Source organism: Homo sapiens, chromosome 18, assembly GCF_000001405.40.
Source record: "Homo sapiens chromosome 18, GRCh38.p14 Primary Assembly".
In the NCBI taxonomy this organism is placed as follows: Eukaryota; Metazoa; Chordata; class Mammalia; order Primates; family Hominidae; genus Homo; species Homo sapiens.
In genome coordinates this window covers 66525447-66548680 of record NC_000018.10, presented here as the reverse complement: position 1 = coordinate 66548680, position 23234 = coordinate 66525447, and the positions used below count along the sequence as shown (strand labels likewise).

General features: G+C 32.7%; 1 protein-coding gene across 7 annotated transcripts in view; it reads left to right on the top strand.

Moving 5' to 3' along the window:
* CDH19 (cadherin 19) overlaps positions 1 to 23234 on the top strand; it is a 103008-nt gene that overhangs the window by 55410 nt on the left and 24364 nt on the right. For 5 of the 7 annotated variants that reach the window (NR_073130.2, NM_001271028.2, NM_021153.4 and 2 more), the window contains 4 exons: positions 3778 to 3962; positions 4457 to 4710; positions 13574 to 13695; positions 18715 to 18836. Coding sequence is in view for 6 of the 7 variants with exons in the window: in NM_001271028.2 (NP_001257957.1) it covers positions 3778 to 3962; positions 4457 to 4710; positions 13574 to 13695; positions 18715 to 18836 (683 nt within the window). In the remaining variant the exon portion in view is untranslated. Of the gene's footprint in view, positions 1 to 3777; positions 3963 to 4456; positions 4711 to 13573; positions 13696 to 15968; positions 18520 to 18714; positions 18837 to 23234 lie in introns of those variants that run through there. The other 2 variants (XM_011525932.2, XM_047437485.1) reach the window with 1 other exon arrangement.

The following is a 23234-nucleotide window of genomic DNA, read 5'->3' as shown; positions in this document are numbered from 1 at the left end:
CTGATCTGATCATTTCTATCAATAACCTAAGTGGAATGCAGTGTCAATTCTCAGTTCTGATAACACTTGATTTCTTGGAAGAATTTTATGTAATTGATCAACTTCTCCTTGAAAACCTTAATGCTCCATTCTCATTAGCTTTTTCTTCTGTCTTACTAGTCTCTGTTTTTTCCTTCCTTGCCTTTTCTTTGTATACTTTAAACTTCGGAACATTTGTGAGTCAGGCCTTTGATCTCGTCTTTCTTCCCTTTTATACTCATTCCTTTATGATCTTATCCAGACACGTGGCTTTACATAACCACCTCTGGGCTGAGAACCTCATATTAAATATACATCTCCAGACTGAACTTCTCCCTTGAGCTTCGCAAAAGTAAATCTGTCTACTCATCAACTTCATATATTATATATTTTTAAAAAAATATATATATATATATAAAGGGGTTCAGAGGAGGGGGCAGCTGGAATCAGGAGCTCAGTTAAGTGTATATTAGGTTTTAAATGTGCATTGTATATATTATATATGTGTATTACATATAAATGCATATTATATATAATATATAATATTTTATATAATATATAACAAATATATAATATATTTATATATAATATACATTCAATATATATCATATATAATATATATAATACACATATATAGTATATAATGCACATATATTACATATATAATACACATATATATTACACATTTAAAACCTAGGCCGGGCGCGGTGGCTCACGCCTGTAATCCCAGCACTTTGGGAGGCCGAGGCGGGCGGATCACGAGGTCAGGAGATCGAGACCATCCCGGCTAAAACGGTGAAACCCCGTCTCTACTAAAAATACAAAAAATTAGCCGGGCGTAGTGGCGGGCGCCTGTAGTCCCAGCTACTTGGGAGGCTGAGGCAGGAGAATGGCGTGAACCCGGGAGGCGGAGCTTGCAGTGAGCCGAGATCCCGCCACTGCACTCCAGCCTGGGCGACAGAGCGAGACTCCGTCTCAAAAAAAAAAAAAAAAAAAAAAAACCTAACACACACTTAACTGAACTCCTGATTCCAGCTGCCCCTCCTCTGAACCTCTTTTTCCAACAGATTTTCCCATCTCATGTACCCACACATCCAGGTTTCATGTTCTTCAAGCCAAAACCTTGCTTATTCGATATAAACACCACTGTTTGAAGAATTAGAAGAATTAGTGATCCCACTCAGATTATGGTAGCCATACCCAGGTCAACCATAATTTTTCCCCCAGCCTGAATTGATAGCCTCCACAATTCTGATAGCTCCTGGCTTTCAATATTCTTGGAGCAAATGCACATACACAAAACACACACATATACATACGCACACACACATACACACACACGCATACCCTCTTCCTTCCTTGCATAAAGATTTGAAGCTACTTTTTCTACTTTTCTTTTTCTCAGAGTTAAAATTTAATTCCCTGCAGATGCTGTTGTCTCTGCCTTAGAAAATATCCGAAATATGAACACTTCTCACCAACTCCATCCCTAGCACTTTGGCACATGGCACCATCTTATTTCGTCTCTATTAGTGCAATAGGCTCTCATCTAGTCTCTTTGCTTACACCATTGTTCTCCTTTAGTTTATTTTCAACACAGCTTTATAATCTTGTTAAAATGCACGTCTGATCATATCACTTGAAGGTCTTCCCATCTCCCTCACAGACGTCAAAATCCTTAGGTTTAGTATCACCTAAATAGTCCTAATGGTCTGAAGTAATCTGCCATTGTCCAGTCCTGTCTCATTACCTCTTGAAATCTTAGTGTTTCTATCTGCCTGTTTGCTTACTAAGAAACCAACACCAGGCAATTATCCTCTCTTTTCCCAGAACACTCCAGGCTCGCTGGCTTTTCCTCTTCTTGAAATTATATTTCCCCAGATACTCATTTTCTTTCTTCAATTCTTATCCAAAAGTCACATCTACAGTGAATACTTTACACCTTATCTTTAATTTTAAGCCATTCCACCAGAATACTACCTTCTTATATACCAGTATCTTATTTACTGTCTGTTTTATCATCAAGAATATGAGCTGATGGTGGCAGCTTTTATGTATATTGTCACCTGTTCTATCTCCAGCCTCTAGGACAGGACCTTGTAAAAATTATGTTCAATAAAATAATTTTTGAAAGTATGGAAAATTATGTAGACAAAATATTGACTGAAGAAAATATTTCAGTTCTTTTTCATTTTGAAGACCAATAGTTTAATATCAACTCAATAACATTTAAGTCTTAAACATCTGCTTTCACGTTCATGGCAATGTAATTGTTTTCTACAGATTAATGTCAGTGATTTTTAATCTTCCAATAACATAAACAATTCTTTTAATTTTTCTATAATGTAAAAAGCACTACTATATAGTCAGTCTTCAACTTCTGCTCTAAAAATGTAGTAAAATATTAGCTCTTAAAAATTAACACTTATTCCACTTAAAAAGTAAGGTCTCAAATGCAATCTTTGAAGTGACTGCCTCCTCCATGCTTCTAAAGGAACTAGGAATCCCTTTAAAGAAGAATTTTATTATATGTGCTTCTTTTTAGAATTCTAAGGAGTTCCATTCTTTAAAATATTGCATGTTTGCTGATGCCGCTTGACATGAGTAATGTCATATATTAACATGGATGAAAATGCAATTGCAAATAATAATTTAAAAATAGTATAGTTCTATATCAGTTTTACACAAGTTACTCCTGAAAAATAAAAAAAAAAGTGCCCAGCAATTTGTAGTTATATTTATGTATTTTAAATACATCTGCAATTATTTCTTAGGACCAAATCAATTAGGTCATCTTTGACTACAAAATGTTTTTTATATTACATTCACTTACCAACTCCTTTCGATCTATATTTCCTTGCATTTCCAGGATGGCTGATGTAATGCAGGCTCAGACCCTCAAAATCAAACTATCGTTCTTGGAACTCTACTATTTGCATGCAGACTCTCCCACCTTTATTCCACATGTATATTTATTCAGTAACTTCAGGTATCAGGAATGTTAGAGTAAAATTGAAAGTTATTTCTGTCAAATTTAATTTAGTATGGTTGAAGGTTACAATAAAAAATAAAACATGAATATTGAGGAGACATGCATGTAAATAGAGATAATATTGGTGATAGACTTTCCTAAGATATATTTGAGAGATGATGATAGATGCTCAAATAGGAGATTAGAAAATATTTATATTTCAAAAAGAAAGGGAAAGAGACTATATATGGGGGCAGAGAGAGGAAGGAAGGAAAGAAGGAAGGAAGGAAGGAAAGAAAGAAAGGAAAAAGAGAAAGAAAAAAGAGAACAAATAAAGAAAGATTAAGAACAAGTAACTGGGAAAGGTAGATACGGGATTCCCTACAGATCAAAAATAAAGAATGCTACAATTGCGACCCGGCACGGTGGCTCACATCTGAAATCCCAGCACTTTGGGAGGCCGAGGCAGGTGGATCATGAGGTCAGGAGATCGAGACCATCCTAGCTAAAACGGTGAAACCCTATCTCTACTAAAAATACAAAAAATTAGCCGGGCGTGGTGGTGGGCGCTTGTAGACCCAGCTACTCAGTAGGCTGAGGCAGGAGAATGGCATGAACCCAGGAGGCAGAGATTGCAGTGAACCGAGATCACACCACTGCACTCCAGCCTGGGCGACAGAATGAGACTCCGTCTCGAAAAAACAAACAAACAAACAAACAAAAAACTATAATTGCAAGTTGTCTATATTAAGTATTTATCCAAAATACCTCCAATTTTGTTTTTAAAGGTTTATACCGCTTGACTGTCTCTGAATCTGCACCCACTGGGACTTCTATAGGAACAATCATGGCATATGATAATGACATAGGAGAGAATGCAGAAATGGATTACAGCATTGAAGAGGATGATTCGCAAACATTTGACATTATTACTAATCATGAAACTCAAGAAGGAATAGTTATATTAAAAAAGGTAGACATGTTAAAATTATTTGCCTTGCAGAATAGCGCAAAATTAAAACATAACATATTTTGTGTAGCTGGTTAGTTTTTAACTCATTAAATAATTGAAATGAGAACCAGTAATTTATGTTTTATGGAGACAAGGATTTTAGAGATGAGAGAGTTATTACAGAGTGTTTTGAATTATATGCAGAACATTTTTTTAATTCTAATAATAAAACTTTTTGGAAAATATCTTAAATACTAGGAAATTAATTCTCAGTTTCATTAGATGTTTATGCTTTCAAAAGTATAACTTTATCTCCAAATTAAAATAGGTAAGTGACAATACACCCAGATTTGTTATGCCTGATTAACAATTATATCAGAGAGATCCATGTACATAAAAAGAAAAATCTAACTGAAAGGCCACTGAGACTTAATTTAACAGGTAAAACCTTTTTTCTAAATAGTATCTTGGGTTACTAAAGCCATTTCTTTTGTGTATACTGTGTTTCTTTGCAGAAAGTGGATTTTGAGCACCAGAACCACTACGGTATTAGAGCAAAAGTTAAAAACCATCATGTTCCTGAGCAGCTCATGAAGTACCACACTGAGGCTTCCACCACTTTCATTAAGATCCAGGTGGAAGATGTTGATGAGCCTCCTCTTTTCCTCCTTCCATATTATGTATTTGAAGTTTTTGAAGAAACCCCACAGGGATCATTTGTAGGCGTGGTGTCTGCCACAGACCCAGACAATAGGAAATCTCCTATCAGGTATGTCTGTAAGGTCAGTTTTGCATTAATAAATAAGTAAATATAAAATAGATTAAAAATAAAATTGCATGCAATCTTTTTTTTAATTGAGAGGGAGTCTCACTCTGTCTTCTAGGCTCGAGTACAGTGGCGCAATCTCAGCTCATTGCCACCTCTGCTTCCCAGGTTCAAGCGAGTCTTCTGCCTCAGCCTCCCTAGTAGCTGGGACTATAGGCATGCGCCACCACGCCCAGCTAATTTTTGTATTTTTAGTAGAGACGGGGTTTCATCACATTGTCCAGGCTGGTCTCGAACTCCTGACCTCGTGATCCACCGGCCTCGGCCTCCCAAAATGCTGGCATTACAGGCTTGAGCCACCGCCCCTAGCCTGCGTGCAAATTTAAACAAGGTTATATCTGTATCTATATTTCTGTATGTCTTAATTAATTTGTAACAATTTAAGCAAAATAGGGAACCTCAGTGTCGGTTAAGATGCAGTAAAATTGGTGATTTCAAACACGTGCAAGAAGGAGGCAATTACCAATTAAAATTCAGTGCATTATATTCCCTCTTAATTGGGGAAAGGAGATAAGAGGAAAACAATCGTTTTTTAAAAAGCCCCAATTAGAGCTGAAACAAAGCTGATCAAAATGTGGCTTATTTAAGGCAGCGCGCGGTGGCTCACGCCTGTAATCCCAGCACTTTGGGAGGCCGAGGCGGGCGGATCACGAGGTCAGGAGATCGAGACCATCCTGGCTAACATGTGAAACCCCGTCTCTACTAAAAATACAAAACAAAATTAGCCAGGCGTGGCGGCGGGCACCTGTAGTCCCAGCTACTCAGGAGGCTGAGGCAGGAGAATGGCGTGAACCCAGGAGGCAGAGCTTGCAGTGAGCCAAGATTGCACCACTGCACTCCGGCCTGGGTGACAAAGCGAGACTCCGTCTCAACGACAACAAAAAAGTGGCTTATTTAAATACTATTTACTTGAAATGATATTCAAAAATTGAGAAAGCTTTTATAGCAGTGGTCCTCAACCTTTCTGCCACCAGGAACCAGTTCGGTGGAAGACAATTTTTCCAAGGTCGGGGGGGTGAAGGGGAATGGTTTCAGAATAAAACTGTTCTGCCTCAGTTTATCTGGCATTGGATTCTCATAAGGAGGTCTCAACCTAGATACTTCACATGCACAGTTCACAACAGGATTCATGCTCCTATGACAATCTAATGCTGCCGTGGATATGAGAAGAGGCGGAGCTCAGACAGTAAGGCTGGCTCGCCTGCCCTCACCTACAGGCCATGGACAGGTTCATGGCCTGCTGTTCATGGCCTTGGGGGTTGGGAACCTGTGTTTTACAGGATACCACTTAAAGGAGTTCAAAGGGTTAGAAATCTATTCTTGTATTACAATTAAACAGATATTTGCCATCTATTAAAATAGTCTGTTATTTTCAGTTACTATGTTATAATTTATTTTGCTTTTGTTTTATATTTTGTTTATTTGTTTGTTTCAGTAGTTGAGGTATAGTCTGGTTGGGCATAAAAAACCAAAGCTTGTTACGTAATGATTTCTCCAACACCTTTCCTTACTCACCTATTTTCCAGAAACCTTCATATATTAATTAAAATGCTAGCTGCTCCTTGGCTCTGTGAAGGTCTTGCAGTAGCTCAATGAAAAAGCTCAATTTAATTTTTGATACCAAGAAATGTTCCCACTTTTCCATTATAGTTCCAGTTCATAAAATGTTGCCTTCTGATACGCATATGTAGTTCTTAATTAGTCATAGACATTTTAGTGATTGTATAAGTGCATATCAATTTTTTACTTTAAAAAATGTATCTGTATACCTATTCATTGTTCTTCAGGGAACACTAAATAATATGGAATGTTAAAAAATGCTTTGATGATTAAGATATTCATATGTTATCATTTATAGTAATAAAGTATTGAAAACTGTTAATTTTAGGAGTACAAGTGAGTAAATTATAATTCATGATGCTTGTGATGCATAGGTAATACCACTGCATACATTTTAAAGCACAATAATACACAATGAAGAATTGCATGCTTACTACATGTGAAAATGCTACATATATATGAAGAAAAACCTAAGGTACAACCAAATATTAAGAGGTTTTGTATTTTATAGTATCACCATTGGTGTCTACTTACTTCAATCTGAAAATATTTTAGCTAATGACTTCCACCTTTATACTGGCAATTATTACTTTTTAAAATAACTTGTATCCATCAAAAAACACGTTTTAATGATTTGACAGATGTTCTTTCATTTAAAAGTGTCTTTTAAATAATATTGCTTTTCATACATATGTTAGGATCACTGAGGATACAGCAGTTTTTGTTGTTGATATTGTTGATTTTTTTCATATGATATAGCTTGATTTAACAAACATTCAAAATACATCATAAAAACAAAATCAGTTGCTTATGAAAATACCCACTTCAGCACATTTCAGGAGGCTTCTTTTTGGTTTTCTTTATTTATCTCTTTTTTCTTTGTAAGCAAAAGATCCCCAAAATATTTGAACATAAAATGCAAAATGATTTCAATTTGAGTTTTAATTTGATAATATCTCTTCTTTAATACTCACTGCATGGTAAGAGCTATGAAAACCAGAAAAAATATTAGGATATTGTATTTTAGCCTTAGGGATGTCTCATTGTTGTGGGAGAAACACTAACACATATTAAACATAGTAAATTAGCCCCAATTCATTCAACTCATATTAGTTTTTCCTACTAAGTAAGAATCACCTGCTGTTTCTGTAAAGCATGGAAATTCCCAAACTCAGTTTCATCACGTCTTGGGTGGGGTAAATAAACTGGTGTAACGAAATACTCTTGCTTTAGTTGAGGTCATAAAAGCTTGAGGAGCAAGATCTACCTTTATATGAATTATAATAACAAACTACATGTCAATTTTTAAAAAATGGGGCACAGAAATAATGGAAAAATTTAATATTTAGACTTGAAAGTGAGATGATAGAATTGTTTTAAGGAGCCTTGTATGGTAAAAATTAGAGGAGCCCAAACAATCTGTAATAAAATTACTACCATAAAATTATTAAGAACTTCATAAGAAATTATTCTTAAAATTTTTATTTTATCACTAAGACTATGTATTATTTCAGAAGTCTAAATGTTTACGTCCCTCAAAATTCATATTTGAAATCTGAAATGCCAGTGAAATGGTATTACAAGGTGGGTCCCATTTTGAAATCCTAAATCTCAATGAAATGGTATTAGGTGGGTACGAGAAGGTGGGTCTTATAAGGCATCAAGTGACACAGGTGGAGCCCTAATGAATGGGATTAGTGCCCTTAAAGTGGAACCCAGATAGCTCTCTCAAGCCTCTCTCTGGCTGTAAGGACACAGAAGTCAACAGTCTGCAACTGAAAGAGTGCTCTTGTCAGAAGCCAATCATGCTGGCATCATAATCTCATACTTCCAGCCTCTAGAAATGTGACAAATAAATATCAGTTGTTTATAAGCTGCCCAGTCTATGGTAATTTTTAATAGCTGTCTGTGATGACTAAGACAATTGCCTTATTCTTTTGGACTTCAGATATAGGGATTACTCTTTTGGTATCAATGGGTATGATTTACTTTTTGGACGTTATTGAAGTTTCCTTTCAAATTAAGTCTAAAGTCAAACTTTGAAATATTTTGTAAGTATGAGAAAGATGGTGTATTATTTCCTGTTAGAAAAAAAAGAGCAAATAAAAAGCAAAGCAAGCAGGACAAAAAGGAAATAAAAAGATTAGATCACAAGCAGTGAAACTGAAAGCAACGGAGTAATATAATGAAGCCAGTAGCAGATTCTTTCAAAATATTGCTAAAGTTTATTAATCTCTATCGAGAAAGGCCAAGGGGCAAACAGAGAGAGAGAGAGAGAGAAGACAAAAATTATTATTACCAAAGTGAAAAAGGGAGCACACATATTGATCCCACAGACATTAAAAAGATTATAGGGACTACTTTGAACAATGCTATGCCTATACATTTAGAGGAAGTTCTTGAGAGAATCCAAAGATATTAAAAGATAAATAACCTTAGCATACACACACACACACGTATACATTTACAAACAACCATATATGTACAACCTCATAAATATGTATACATACACATGCATACACACAAGCATATATATACCACCAAAAAGTCAGTTAAATAGCTTCATAAAAAAAGAGCAGTTCCAGTAAAAATTGATGCCACTGATATATCCTACCATACGTAACAAGCAAAGAAAACTACAGATCAATATCCCTCATAAACAAATATGAAAATTCTTTACAATAATAGTAATTTGAGCTATTTGTGAAAAGGAAAGTATATCCTTATCAACTGGAGTGCACCCAGGAATGCAAGGATGTGTCTATATATTAAAATAGTTTCATATAAACCACCATATTGAGAGATTAAAAAAGAAAAGCCATATAACATCTCAATAGACAAAGAAAAAACATTTGACAATATTCAAAATTAACTTATTATAAAAACTATCAGCACAATCAGCACAATATGAATAGAAGATTCTTAAACAGATACAGAGTATCTACAAAAGAATGCAGCTAATATTATACTTAATTATGGAATATTATGTGCTTTTTTCCTAAGATTGGAAACAAGGTAGGAATGTACTCTTTCACTAGTCCAAATCTATAATATTGGAAGTCCTGGCCATGCAGTAAGTGAGAAAAAGAAATAAAAACATACAAGCTGGAGAGAAATAATATAGTTTTCTTTATTTGCAGATGACTTGATTATTGCCTAGATAATTCCAGGAAATTCACAAAAATGCCCAGTAATATGTGAGTTTATCAAGGCAGAAAGATACAAGATTATTATAAATTAAACTTATATTGACCGCAACACCCAGCAATCCCTCTTCCAAGCATTTACCCAGGAATAAAGGAAACTTTGTGTTTTGGGTTGAGTTGTGTCCTAAAGAGACATGTTGAGTCCTAACATCCAGTACACCCGAATGTGGCCTTGTTAAGAAATAGAGTAATTGTGGAGGTAACTAGTTAAGATAAGGTCATACCTGAGCAGGTATGTTTTTAATCCAAAATGGCTGGTGTCCTTATAAGAAGACAGACACTGGGAGAGGACTGCCATGTGACAACCGAAGCAGAGATCAGAGCGATGCGTCTACAAGTGGAAGACTAGCAAGGACTGCCGGAAATCACTGGAAGCTAGAAACAGGAAGGAAGGATTCACCCCTACAGGCTTCAAAGGAAGCATGACCCTGTTGATACTTTGATTTTAATAAATCTAATAGAGTTAATTTATCGTTTTCAGCCACCCAGTTTGTGGTGTTTTGTTGCAGCAGGCCTAGAAAGTGTATTTATTTTGACATGAAAACCTGTATGCAAGCATTTATGGCAGCTTTATACATGATCTCCAATAACTGGAATTGACTCAAATATCCTTCAATAGGTGAGTGGATTAAAAAAAATGAACAAACAAAAATAAACCCTGTGGTACCTAAACTAAAAAGATATGACAAAGGAAAGGAGGGTGATAAAATTGTTCTGTGTCATTATGTGAAGGCGGACACATGACTATTCTTTTGTCCAAGTTCAGAGAATTCTCCAAGATATAGATGAAAATACTAATTAGTGTAAACTCTGGAAAAAAATCAAATAGGACTTTGGAGATATCCCCAAAATTGAAGGCAAACTATTGCAAATGTACTTTATTATATTATAGACAAATAACATAATCAAAAGGAGAGGAATTAGGAAAATACAACCTAAGTAATTTTGGAAGAGAGTATTTCAATTCTAAATCTAGAGAAAAAAATAGCTGTTCAGAAGAAATGTACTCTACATAGTGAATATATTTTTTACATGGATACTATTTAGGGATTGCAGTGTTACTCTACATGTATATTGGGATTGAACACATAAGTAAATATGCTGTAGATAGTAAGACTAAGATGCATTATTGTCAAAAGAAATGATTACAAATAAAAAATGAGAAAAGTTACATGAAGGTGTCACACTGGATTGAAATCTGAGGTATGATGCACGAATGCCTTCTTAATATATATACAGACAGAAGGAATTACATGGAAATAAATATAGATGTGTTTGTACGCATGGGTATACATACATATATTTCCTGCTGATGTCTGCTCAAAGGACCTAAAAACAATGAAACTCAAGAAGCAATGGGAACTCTTAATACCTAGATCTTGCTTTCTAATACTACTCTCCAATCAAAGATGCTGCAACTCATCTGATAACTGGAATCCAGAGCTGTTGTAAGGAAACGACAAGATCATCCTGGAGCATCTTGTGGTTCCAGAAAGAAAGTATTAAAAAATGTTAACATTATTCCTCTATGGATACTGAAAATTAGTGGATAAATGTTTGAGAAACCAGAACATTTTAAAATAGTTTCCTGAGATCCTTATGAATTACAGAAGAAAAAAATAGCAATTTTACCCCAGAGAAATGGGGTCGTCATCACCTATTCGAGTTCTCAATGTTAATATCACCATTCATGAGATATGATGAACATCATGTTCCCCTGATATGATAGCCTAAGAAAGTATATCATGTCTGTGTTATTCCTGCCAAAAATATGTAACCTTAGTCTAATCATGAGAAAGCATCAGACAAACCCAAATTGAGAGACGCTCTTTAAAATAATTGACCAATACTCTTCAATAGCATCAAGGTCTTGAGAGACAAGAACATTGAGGAATCGTGGAGGAGACTAAGGACGCAGGAAAATGAAAGGCCGTATTGGATTCTACATTGGATTGTAAAAGAAGAATATGAGTGGAAAAAAAACAGTGAAATCCAACTATAGTTTGTAGTTTGATTAATTAAATTATAGCGATTAATTTATTAAACAGATTAAAGTTTATATAAGATTTTAACATTAGAAAAAGCTGAGTGAAGAGCATGTAGAAATGCTGTGTGCTGTTTTTGCAACATTTCTGTAAGTCCAAAATTATTGTAAAATGTTTTTAATTGGATTAGTGGGAAAATTCCAAATTTTAAATTTTGCTGAGGTCATGATGGTACATATCTAAATAAGTCAGCTGTTTACATATTTATGAATTTTCTGATGTTTGTCTCCCTAGTTTAAAAATGGGAAAAATATATATATGTATTTTACATATATGTAAAATTTAACTAAAACTTACCTCAAAGCCAAACAAATTTTGTCCAGTGAAGGTGGAGTGGGGGAAAAGAAAACTTACATAACGAGAATTTGTGGTTCTAAAAGGGGTTAAGAAAAATGATACATATTACACATCACTGCTTATATCACATCCTAGAGGGGCTACATATATTTTTACTTCTGTTTTAATTAATTAATGGGAACTGAACCAATTTATTGTTTATGTGGCTCTTCTTCCTAAATTCTAACAGATGTGAATTAAACTACTAAAGACTATAACATCCTGTCAAACTTTAAATGGGCTTTATGTGCAATGACATTTTACAGAAATAGGATTAGATGTTTAATTCAAAATAACAACTGTTAAAACACTGTATAATTTTTCCAACAATTCTATTAGGTGTGAAAGGCAACCACTTGGGGATATTTAGGGAAAATACTTATAAATATTTTAAATGGAGTACAGTTAAAACTGAACTCCCCTAAAGCTTAATTCCTCGTGATTTCTATTGAGTCCTTATCTGAATACCTAGCTACAAAGTAGCATAATGTTTTTGGAAATACTTGAACTCAAAATTAAAATATTCTCATCTTTGCCATATAATTATGGTAAACTTCCTTGATATCTCATCAAAGTCTTCAGGAATATACATGCAATGAGAAGCCATTATTGAACCCTAGTTATTATTGCTCTTTAATTTTTATTATTAATTGTTTCCACATAGATGAGACATGCTGAGTATTTCGAAGTCTTCTTTCATTGTGGAGGTGGAGATCATTTTTCAGTTTTTTTTTTCCCTTGGGAGAAATTTGTAACTTGGCTTTCTTCCATGCACAATCTAAAAGCACATTAGAACTACTGTATTTTACTTTTGTTTTATATGTGTGTATATATATAAAACATATATATTATATGTAAAAATATATAATATAAAATAAATACATGTGATGTAATATATCACATACATATATACATACATATATTGTATGTAATATATAATAAAACATATGTATCATATATTACATATATATGCATAAAACATATATGTATTATGTATTACATATTTTCTATATGTAATATAGAATAAAGCATATATGTATTAAATATTACAAATATGTTATATATGTAATAAAATATGTCATGTGTTATAAAATGTAAAATATATATCATATATAATGTATTATATATATGTTTATATATATATATATATAAATATTTTGGATTCCTGATTCCAGATTCCAGATTTCAGAAGTCTTTCAGGTTTCCCAAAAGAATTAAAATTCTATCTACTATATAGACTTTACTTTTTATCAAATTTACTTTTTAAACAAACAAAAACATTTGTTAAATATCAAGCCAAGTAGTTGTAGTAAAATGAACAGATTCGCAAGCAACACCTGTGACATAGGAAAGAGATCAATACTCGTCTAGGCTGAAGATATATTTTAATTTATTTGATAGGAAAAAAAGATTCACAATCATTAATTTTAGATTTAGCATCCATCAATTTAAATCTAAAGTCATGTTACGTCTTTTTTTCTATCTCCACTGAGTTGAATCTTAAATACAGGAATATACTGTTTTAAAAGTTGTTCGGTATTATATATTGGCTATGTAGAGCATGCATTGAATAAGATGTCTTATTGCTTAAAGAGTATTATCTAACACTGTTATGCAGATAGAATAAAAATATTAAGGTATACTTTCCTTTTGGTTCAGGTATTCTATTACTAGGAGCAAAGTGTTCAATATCAATGATAATGGTACAATCACTACAAGTAACTCACTGGATCGTGAAATCAGTGCTTGGTACAACCTAAGTATTACAGCCACAGAAAAATGTAAGTACTCATTTGAAATCCAATACAGTTGTTTGCCATATTTTGTAAATAATTACAAATTTCTATACATGGGGACAAGGCTACTTTAAAATGTTGTTGGAATTATTTAAATGACATTCAATGTAAATGTGTGTACTTGCGTATTTTATTAGTTTTTATTTATATGCTTACCACTAAATACCTTCTAAACTATTTTCTAATTATAACAGTAAATAATTTTCCATACAAGAATAAATTGAGGAAACAACAAAATACAAATGAAATTCACCTGAAATTCTGCTTGTTTATTTAGGTGGATGATTTCGTTTTCGGGTTGTAAATTTTTCTGATTTACCACTTGGATATTGTCCTTAAAATCATGAATCCATTATTCATACAATTATATTTATTAAAGCTTAAAGAAATAAATATAACACAATATAAAATATCGAAGTCATTTCCATTACTTAGTCAATAGATTTAGAATTGTAAAGTATTAAAATTACAAATATAAAATATTCTCAGATGCATCTTTTCTTATAGCTGATTTTACATAGAATTTTAATAATCCTGTTTCCTTTCTTCACTCTTTGTTGAGGCAGGGAGCAGATATCTCTCTTTTCCTTACTTTATCAGGCAGATGGCAGGTGATATGGTGGAGTGGAAGGCATCTCCGCATATTATTTGCGATACAATGAACAGTTCTATGGAAACACTGTAGGAGAGCTTGAATCTGGGTTTTCAAGGTTCCATTTAACTAAACCATAAAAGGAGGCAAATGTTACAATGGAATAAATGCCCGCTGTAACAGAGGAAATGTCAAGGCTTCTCGTGTCAGAAAATGCAAAGATGTTTATTTTAAATGCAGCTTTTATTCATTGTGTATTTCTGAGAACAATTTTTTTTTTTCATTTTAAGGAAAAACTTGTTGGAACAAGCTTTTATAACACTGGATAACAAATTTTCATTTTTTTTCTTTCTCTAACATTTTAAAAAATTCTACATCATTAAGCCCATTTTAGATCTATTTGGGGAAAATATGTGTAACTGCCATTTTTTTACTACTGTGAAATCAATATTGAACCAAAAATAATTAGGCTTGACCATTTAAGCTTCAATAGCAATATAAACAAACCACCTACTGGTGGAAAACAGGGCATTACATAAAACTGTTTTAAAAATCATCTAGCTGCATTTGCTAACTACCTTGAAAAGCTTTCACCATAGCAATTATACTGATTATAGGAAAGAGATGTTCCATTTAAAAATTTTTTTTTTCCAGCAAATGAAGTTCGTTGTGCTTAGTCTCTTTTCTGGAAAGCTTCCCAAATTAAGCACAATGCTATTTATCAGTATGCTAGCTAAGTGAATAAAACTACTATTTTAAGGTGAAGCTGTGAAGTTTTATATACATTTTGTGCAGTAATACCAAAGGTTTAATTTAACTTAATTTCAAGCAAAGTTTAGGAACACAAAGATAAAAACATTATGAATTTCTTATTAATTTTCTGTCAGTTTATTCACAACTGAATTACATTATACAATTTAATTATTTAAGCAAAAAGATATTCTGTGATGATGTATGCGCTGAAACCATAACAAATACGAACCTAAATTTTCTGGTTAATTTCTTCTTGAAATCTTTAGAAATACCTTTTCATTTTTAAATGTTCCATTAATTTATTTTCATCCTAAATGTCACACAATGGAGAAAAGTCTCAAAATGATAAATACTAATAGTTGCTGTATTTCTTAAAGGCCATGGATGTGTGTGTGTGTGTGTGTGTGTGTGTAATAAATCCTAGAAATTTTAATTTTTAGTTAATTGAAAATTACAATTTCTATCTTAATTGTAACTGTTATTGTTGGGAAAATTCAATTTTAAGCAAAATCTCATCCCAGCCCAGAAAACCTCCCCTCAAAGGTAGAACAGAGAGAAAAATTTTATTACTGGAAAGCATTAAAACACAATGTGATCTGCATCATAGGAAATCTAAGAGATTGCCAAAATGGAAAGAAATCTCACCTTTTTATGTGGTCAAGCAGGTGCAATCCAATATATACATGTTCTCAAGTTAAATATTATCTAGATATTCAAGTATGAGGACTTAGCACTATTTGTCACATAGAATTCATTCTATATTCACTGGGTAGTTGGAGTGACCGCCTGTATTTGCTAAGTGGTTTTATCCAAAGGACAACTTAACTTTTCATGTCTTTATGACAAGAGGTAGTTCTACAACTTAGAACAAGATCGTTGCTAAAATGAGTCTCCTATCCTTCCCCACATCTAGGATATAGGGATGCTGTATTCCTTGAAGATTACATTTCAAAGAGATGGTCACCATTACTTGATAAATACAATCCTGGATCCTAAAGCTTCCAAGAAACTTGTTGAACTTTTGAAAGATTTCCATACGCTTCAAAGGGACAAAGAAAAAACTTACATACAAAGCTTTTTTTTTCCCTCTCTCTCTCTCTTTCTCTGTGTGTGTGTGTGTGTGTGTGTGTGTGTGTATGAATGCTCTGAGAAAAGGAAGGAAAGAAAAAATATTTTCCCTTGCTTTCAACAAGTACAAGGCCTCTAATTTTTAATTTGTTTTGTTCTTTCAAATTATCATTGCAAATAGTACATATATTTTAAATAAAAACACTAAAACAAACTAAAGAATCCCACTCCTATACCCTTTAATTGTATGCACCTTTCCTATAGCTTTCTTTTTTTTTTATGAAAAAGAGAGGCCCTGTATGATGACTTAAGCCTGTAATTCCAGCACTTTAGGAGGCCAAGGTGGGTGGATAACCTGGGGTCAGGAGTTTGTGATCACCGTTGCCAACATGGCAAAAGCCTGTCTCTACTAAAAATACGAAAATTAGCCAGTCCTGGTGGCATGTGCCTGTAGTTTCAGCTACTAGGGAGGCTGAGGCAGGAGAATCGCTTGAGCCTAGGAGGTGGAGGTTGCAGTGAGCTGGGATCCTGCCACTGCACTACAGCCTGAGAGAGAGAAAGATTAAAAACAATAAACCTACACAATATAATAGCTGCAACTTACTTTTTTCAGTTCACAAAATACATGTCTGGTTAGTAGATGCAACAAAACAATAATATTTAACATTCATTGTTCAGTTATGTACTAAGTACTCTTAATTGCCTTATGTATATTAACCAATTTGTGTAATTGCTTCATGTAATTTATGCAATTGCTTTATGTATATGTTTAATCTTAACAACAACCCTATAAGGCAGGTACTACTATCACACCCATTTTTCAGAATGCCAACTGAGGCATTCTGGTTAAGTATTTTTCTCAAATTGAGAAACAAGATTCAAACTCAAGTCATCCAGTTTTAGAGCTCACAATAAAAATGTGTTACATTGACTCTTTTATCTGAGTCAGGGTTTCACTCTGTAGCCCAGGCTGGAGTGCAGTAGCCCGATCACAGCTCACTGCTGCCACAACCTCCTGCTCAAGCGATTCTCCCACCTCAGCCTCCCAAGTAGCTGAGACTACAATGTACACTACTACACTCAGCTAATTTTTTTGGATTTTTAGTAGAGATGAGGTCTCACTATATTGCTCAGGCTGCTCTCAAACTCCTGAGTTCAAGTTATCCTCCTGCCTTGGCCTTCCAAAGCGCTGGGATTTAGAGGTGTGAGTTACCATGCTTGGCCAGACTCACAAATTTTTAATAAATCCACATAATATCATAGTTCAGTTGTAATTTATTCTCCCCAATTCTTTTTTGTTGTACATTTGAGTCGTTTATATAATTTGGATGTAATGCAAATAACTCTGGAATGTATTTAATCGGATCATTTACTCAAATACTGATACCTTAGACTGTAGCTTAAGTTTAACAGATTGGGTCACAGATATGTGTAGTTTAAATTTCATTATCCATTGCTAGAGTCGGTTTACATTGTTATTTTTCAGCACTCAGCTATCACTGGGTGCTGTTCTATCGCATATGACAAAAATGGCATGGGCTAAACCATCATTCTTCTTACCTGTGGTGAGAGGCTGTGTGAACATTATGATAACGCGGCGTGTCTCCACTACAGGCCATTTGGCTCCACACTTCTGCCCCCAATTTCAACCAGGGCACATTGACAATGTCTGAATACAGTTTGGATTGACACACTGGGATGGGAGGGATGCTGCAGACATTCGGGGAATAGAAGTCAGGGATGCCACTAAGCATCCTACAATGCACAGGAGAATCTCCCAAAACTAAGAATTATCCAGTATAAAATATTAATAGTGACAGCAGTGAGAAAGTCTGCTATAAGATAAATCGAATTTTCTCTCCTGTGAATTCCTACTTCATACTTTTTTCTGAAATGTCTTTTTTATATCAATTTGAAAGATTTAAATGTTTTAACCACAATTTTCTCTCATTATGTTTTTTGGATTTCTTGGCTCACTTAGAAAATCTTCTCAATTCAATGTTTATATAAAAACTTTATTTAGATTTTATTATAACTATTTTACTTTAAAATATATTTAGATTCTAATTATTTGTTTTTAAAAGCTACGCCCTAAATTTCAGTGGTTCACAGAATTTTTTTTGTTATAGCACTGCAGCTATAACCTTACACAAGTAATTTAACTGTAATTTTTGAAACTAAATGGTTTATCAATTTTTTATCCGTAAAATTGGGGGGATAATAATCCATATATTGATCAAAATTAAATGAGTTAATACAAAACTTTAAATGGTTCCTGGACTCTTGCAAGCTCTCCGTATACCCTTATTTTACTTTATCTTTTTACTGCTTTTTCTCATCACTTATTACAGCCCATGGCAAATACAATGCACTCAATAAATATTGCTTGGTTTGAATATATTGAGCATGGAATTTTTTTCTAGGATCTATTGTTGATAAGTAGGTGAATCATATAGATATCCTGTCCTCAGATTGCTTTTTTCAAGTAAAATAAAAATACACCACGTAGCCTCTAATGTAATTTTAATGATGTCTCTTCTAAAGACATATTAAAATATGTTAGATTTTTATTATATATATTCAAATTGCAGACAATATAGAACAGATCTCTTCGATCCCACTGTATGTGCAAGTTCTTAACATCAATGATCATGCTCCTGAGTTCTCTCAATACTATGAGACTTATGTTTGTGAAAATGCAGGCTCTGGTCAGGTAAGGACTCATTATAAATTACAAAGTCTAAACAATATATCATTGTTTCATAATATGAAATTTCTTCATATATTATACAATATTGTTATATAATAGATATCAACATCTTTAATATTCATATATTATAATTTATATAATTATTGTAATTCTATATTATATTATATTCAATATATATACAAATTATATATATAAAATAAGCTTTATAATATGTAATAATTTTTGTTATGCATTCATCTTATTTTAAAACATCAAAAAATTTATTCTATTTATATTAATTACATGCTTTTATGTTGTGAGCTTTGTATAATAATATTTTATTTTAATTTTTAAAAGCATGCAAATTTCAAGTTTTCTACTTTCAAATTCCTAAAATGTTTTTAAAAATTTGCTAACGATAGTGATTCAGTAGTTTACTTTTATAGTATATTTATTATTCAGTAGTTCATTTATACTTTGCCAATACAATTAAAAAAATTAATTCTATAGGTTAGTCACATTTAAGTTTTTTTTTTTTTATTCATCATGCAGGTAAAGGTAAAATGAGACATAAACATAAACATATGGAGGGAAAATACACCAGAATGTTTTTTCGTAGCGTTTAATTGCTATACCAGGTATAGCAACACAAATAAAACTGAGTTTTGTACAAATTATTAGATATGTAAACACTTATGAGAACATACTCATTTTGAAATACATTATCATTACTTCACAATTTATTTCACACACTTTCTTATCTGCTGCTCACTTTTTTATTTGTAAAATGTGAAACTTAAGTTAGAATGTTATTTGTGTACTTCTAAGCTCTGGTACATAATAAACTAATATAATTATCAGGTTTCTTAGAGCACACAGAAGACTATTAAATACCATAAGCTGTTTTTCTTTAAAAAATGTCCACTAATGTTCAAAAATTTTACAGTCTAGAGTTCATGATACTAAACAGTTATACAGATACTATCAACTCAATTATTCTAAGTAGCTTTGAATTTATCAACAAAGCTAGTCAGGGACCATTTGGATTTTACAAAAGCAGAAATTATATTTCTCTTTCAATAAATGTTAGTAACCAAAGTTATATTTGATCAATTAGCTACTATGCTGAGGAATACTCATATCTTAAGAAATAGGTACATCTTAACTGTTACTGATTATTAAACTGCAACATAGTGAAAATTGTCAATATTTCTTGAAATGACTGAATTTCATTAAGCTATGTGTATTTTTGAATGTGATTTCACTGGAAATAATGATCAAATCTTGCCTATAAATATTTTCCAAAATGTTTTTGAAAACAGTAATAGAATTGTTATAAATATACAAATGACTTTAAAAATTTAAAGCACTCATTTCTAATGGGTTAGAACCCAAGGATTTGGGAAAGTAAAAGGTGGATATAAAAATTTCAGAGGCTCTCTATTGTGTTGCACTTTCCCTAGAACCAAAATTGAACTATTTTAGAAATGTATGGGCGTACAGTATAGGGTAGAAGAGATCACAAAAACAGAATGAACGTGAACTTGGACCCATGGCTCCTGCAGAAATTCAGCTTAGACATTTTTCTTCAAACGTGGTACTATAAGTAGATTATATATTTAGAAATTGGACATAGCTAATGTTCTCAAGAATTTCAAACACATCTGATTACTTAGACACATTGACAAATATAACAAGCAACTTTTAAATAATAACATGTAAATCTAATAAATGATACTTTAAATGTGGCACACCAGTTTTCTTAAAATACAAATAATTTTTGAAATGATGAATTTTATAATTTTCTAATAAATATATATCAAATTTACATATTAGATGTAACATATTTCTAGAATTATTATAAATAAAATTATGGTTTATATTTATTATAATTATATTTCATATTTCTAGTACCAGTATAGTAAATTATTTCATTCATTTCATGTACATATGAAGTGTACATATGAATGTATTTAGATTATCCATTTATTAGCCTGTTTTAAGCCTAAAAAAAATAGGTTTAATTTACTGCATCTTCTATACACCTATTTCTGTAAATGTCCCATGTGGTAAGTATGTTAATTGGACAAAGTTCTGTTTTTTATATATATATATAGATGGAGCTTTGCTCTCGTTGCCCAGGCTGGAGTGAAGTGGCGTGATCTTGGCTCACTGCAACCTCCCTGTCTCGGGTTCAAGCGATTGATTCTCCTGTCTTAGCCTCCCGAGTAGTGGAGATGACAGGCGCACGCCACCACACCCGGCTAAATTTTTTTGTATTTTTAGTAGAGATGGGTTTTTGCCATGTTGGGCAGGCTGCTCTCAAACTCCTGACCTCGTGATCTGCCTGCCTCGGACTCTCAAAGTGCTAAGATTGCAGGCGTAAGCGACCACACTTGGCCGTTTCTGTTTAATATTTTCGTATTTTCCTCAATATATTACTAGATTTATGACAGCAGAGATTCTTGATTTTATTCCATAGTTATATATGTATGCACATATAGTGATTATAATATGAAAAGTATTCAATTCATATGCTTTCAGAAAAATATATTTCACATGCAACCTGGAAAAACAATTTTGTATGTTTTGTAAATATGAAAAAATAAGCAAAAATGACAATACTAACCACATGGATATAGTTCAAAATAGAATTACTAAGTAGTATTTGTTAGTTATACTAAAAAACTTAATATATATGTATACCTGAGTGCACCAATATATAATAGATATTTAAAAAAATTTATTTGTAATTCATTCAATATTTAAGCTTGCCATACACATATATATACATACATACACACACACACACACACACACATATATATATATACATATTTATATATTCAGTAATAAAACTAATTCTTGGAAACTATCCCTGATTTTGAAATTATCTTTATAACACTTATTCAAATATTACTGGACATGTATAGTCAATGAAAATAGAAATGAAACTAAAAGATGGTGTGCCAGTCCTCTTTTATATATTTTTCAAAGTTGATGTAATACTTTGAGCAACACAATTTTAAAAAAAAAGAATGATGAAATAGTGAAGATTTATTTCATTATTGTCATTCTTCACACAAACTTTCAATACACAATCTTTCAAATTACATGTCTTTTAAATATATATGTGAAAAAAACTTATGCACAATGATGAAATAATTCTTTGGATGATGATGTATCATGAAAATGTCCAAGACAAGTATCTTGATAATATTCAAGGCATTTAAAACCACCATGTTACTAAGTTCCATAATGTATCCTAGATTTATAAAAGTGTCTACATACCCACATAGTCATTGAAGATATAATTTTTAAATTTGAAATAAGTTAATATTTGTTTATTCTTTGAAGTACCTCTATAACAACCACAAAAATGAAATACCATTATCTACAAACAGGTAGAACTGATCCAAAGGAAACTCAAATGCTAATGTTTATTGCAATGTACTGTAAAAGTATTCTCAGTCTTAAACTCTACTGAGGAGAGAAATATCTATTGGGTGCAATGGCATAGAGTTTTCTTGTGCCCTGCTTAAAGTATAAATGTAAAGCTTTATGGAAAAAGCTATGAAATAAAATACTTTTTATAAATGTACATATATGTATACTATGCTTAAAAAGTTTAGTTAACTTAGGGAACTTTCTCAACATCATATAATGTAGCAATAGGTAAGCCAGAATTAAAATTTATGTCTGTCTCCAAGAATGATAGTGATTTTTACCCCATATTCCATGCTAATCATAAAGACTAGCTCTCTTTAGATTATGCACACAACTAAAAATATGAAAAACAAGTTTTTCTGTTTCTCTATTCAGAAAGAATGCTATTTATGATTTTAAGGGCAAAAATAAAAGGAAGGTCAATTTGACTGATTCCAAACTCCTTCCTGGGATATGCACTCTTCAAACTCAAAATAAGGGACATTGGTCAGCCCTATTTTACAATTTCCCTTAAGGAGAGTGTCACACATCATGAAATAATTATTTTGGGACGTGCAGATGTCGCTGTCAAATTCTGGAAGTCTGTCTCAGTCCTATAAGCATCTGAAAGAATGATATATGGCTACCTATCATGTTCCTCCATTTAAATCCAAGGAGAAGCCAACAATTTCCTCCCACCCTGCTGTATACATGATAGTTTACAAATTGAAATCAGTGGACACATGGTTTGAGGGCTGTCAATGTATATAACATTATAGTAGATACTTTCTCATATATTAAGATGCCTTGTTTTAATAATCCAGGAATTATGGCTATCACAAGCACAAGACTGTTGTGTTTCCTCCAGTGTTGATCATAGAGTCAGACTGACTTGGGTTGAGATTTCTGATTTGAAATTCACTGGGTAGGTTTTTGTTAATACAATTAAAACCAAACACCTAACATTAATATATGCCTCCCAAAGTGCCACTAAAA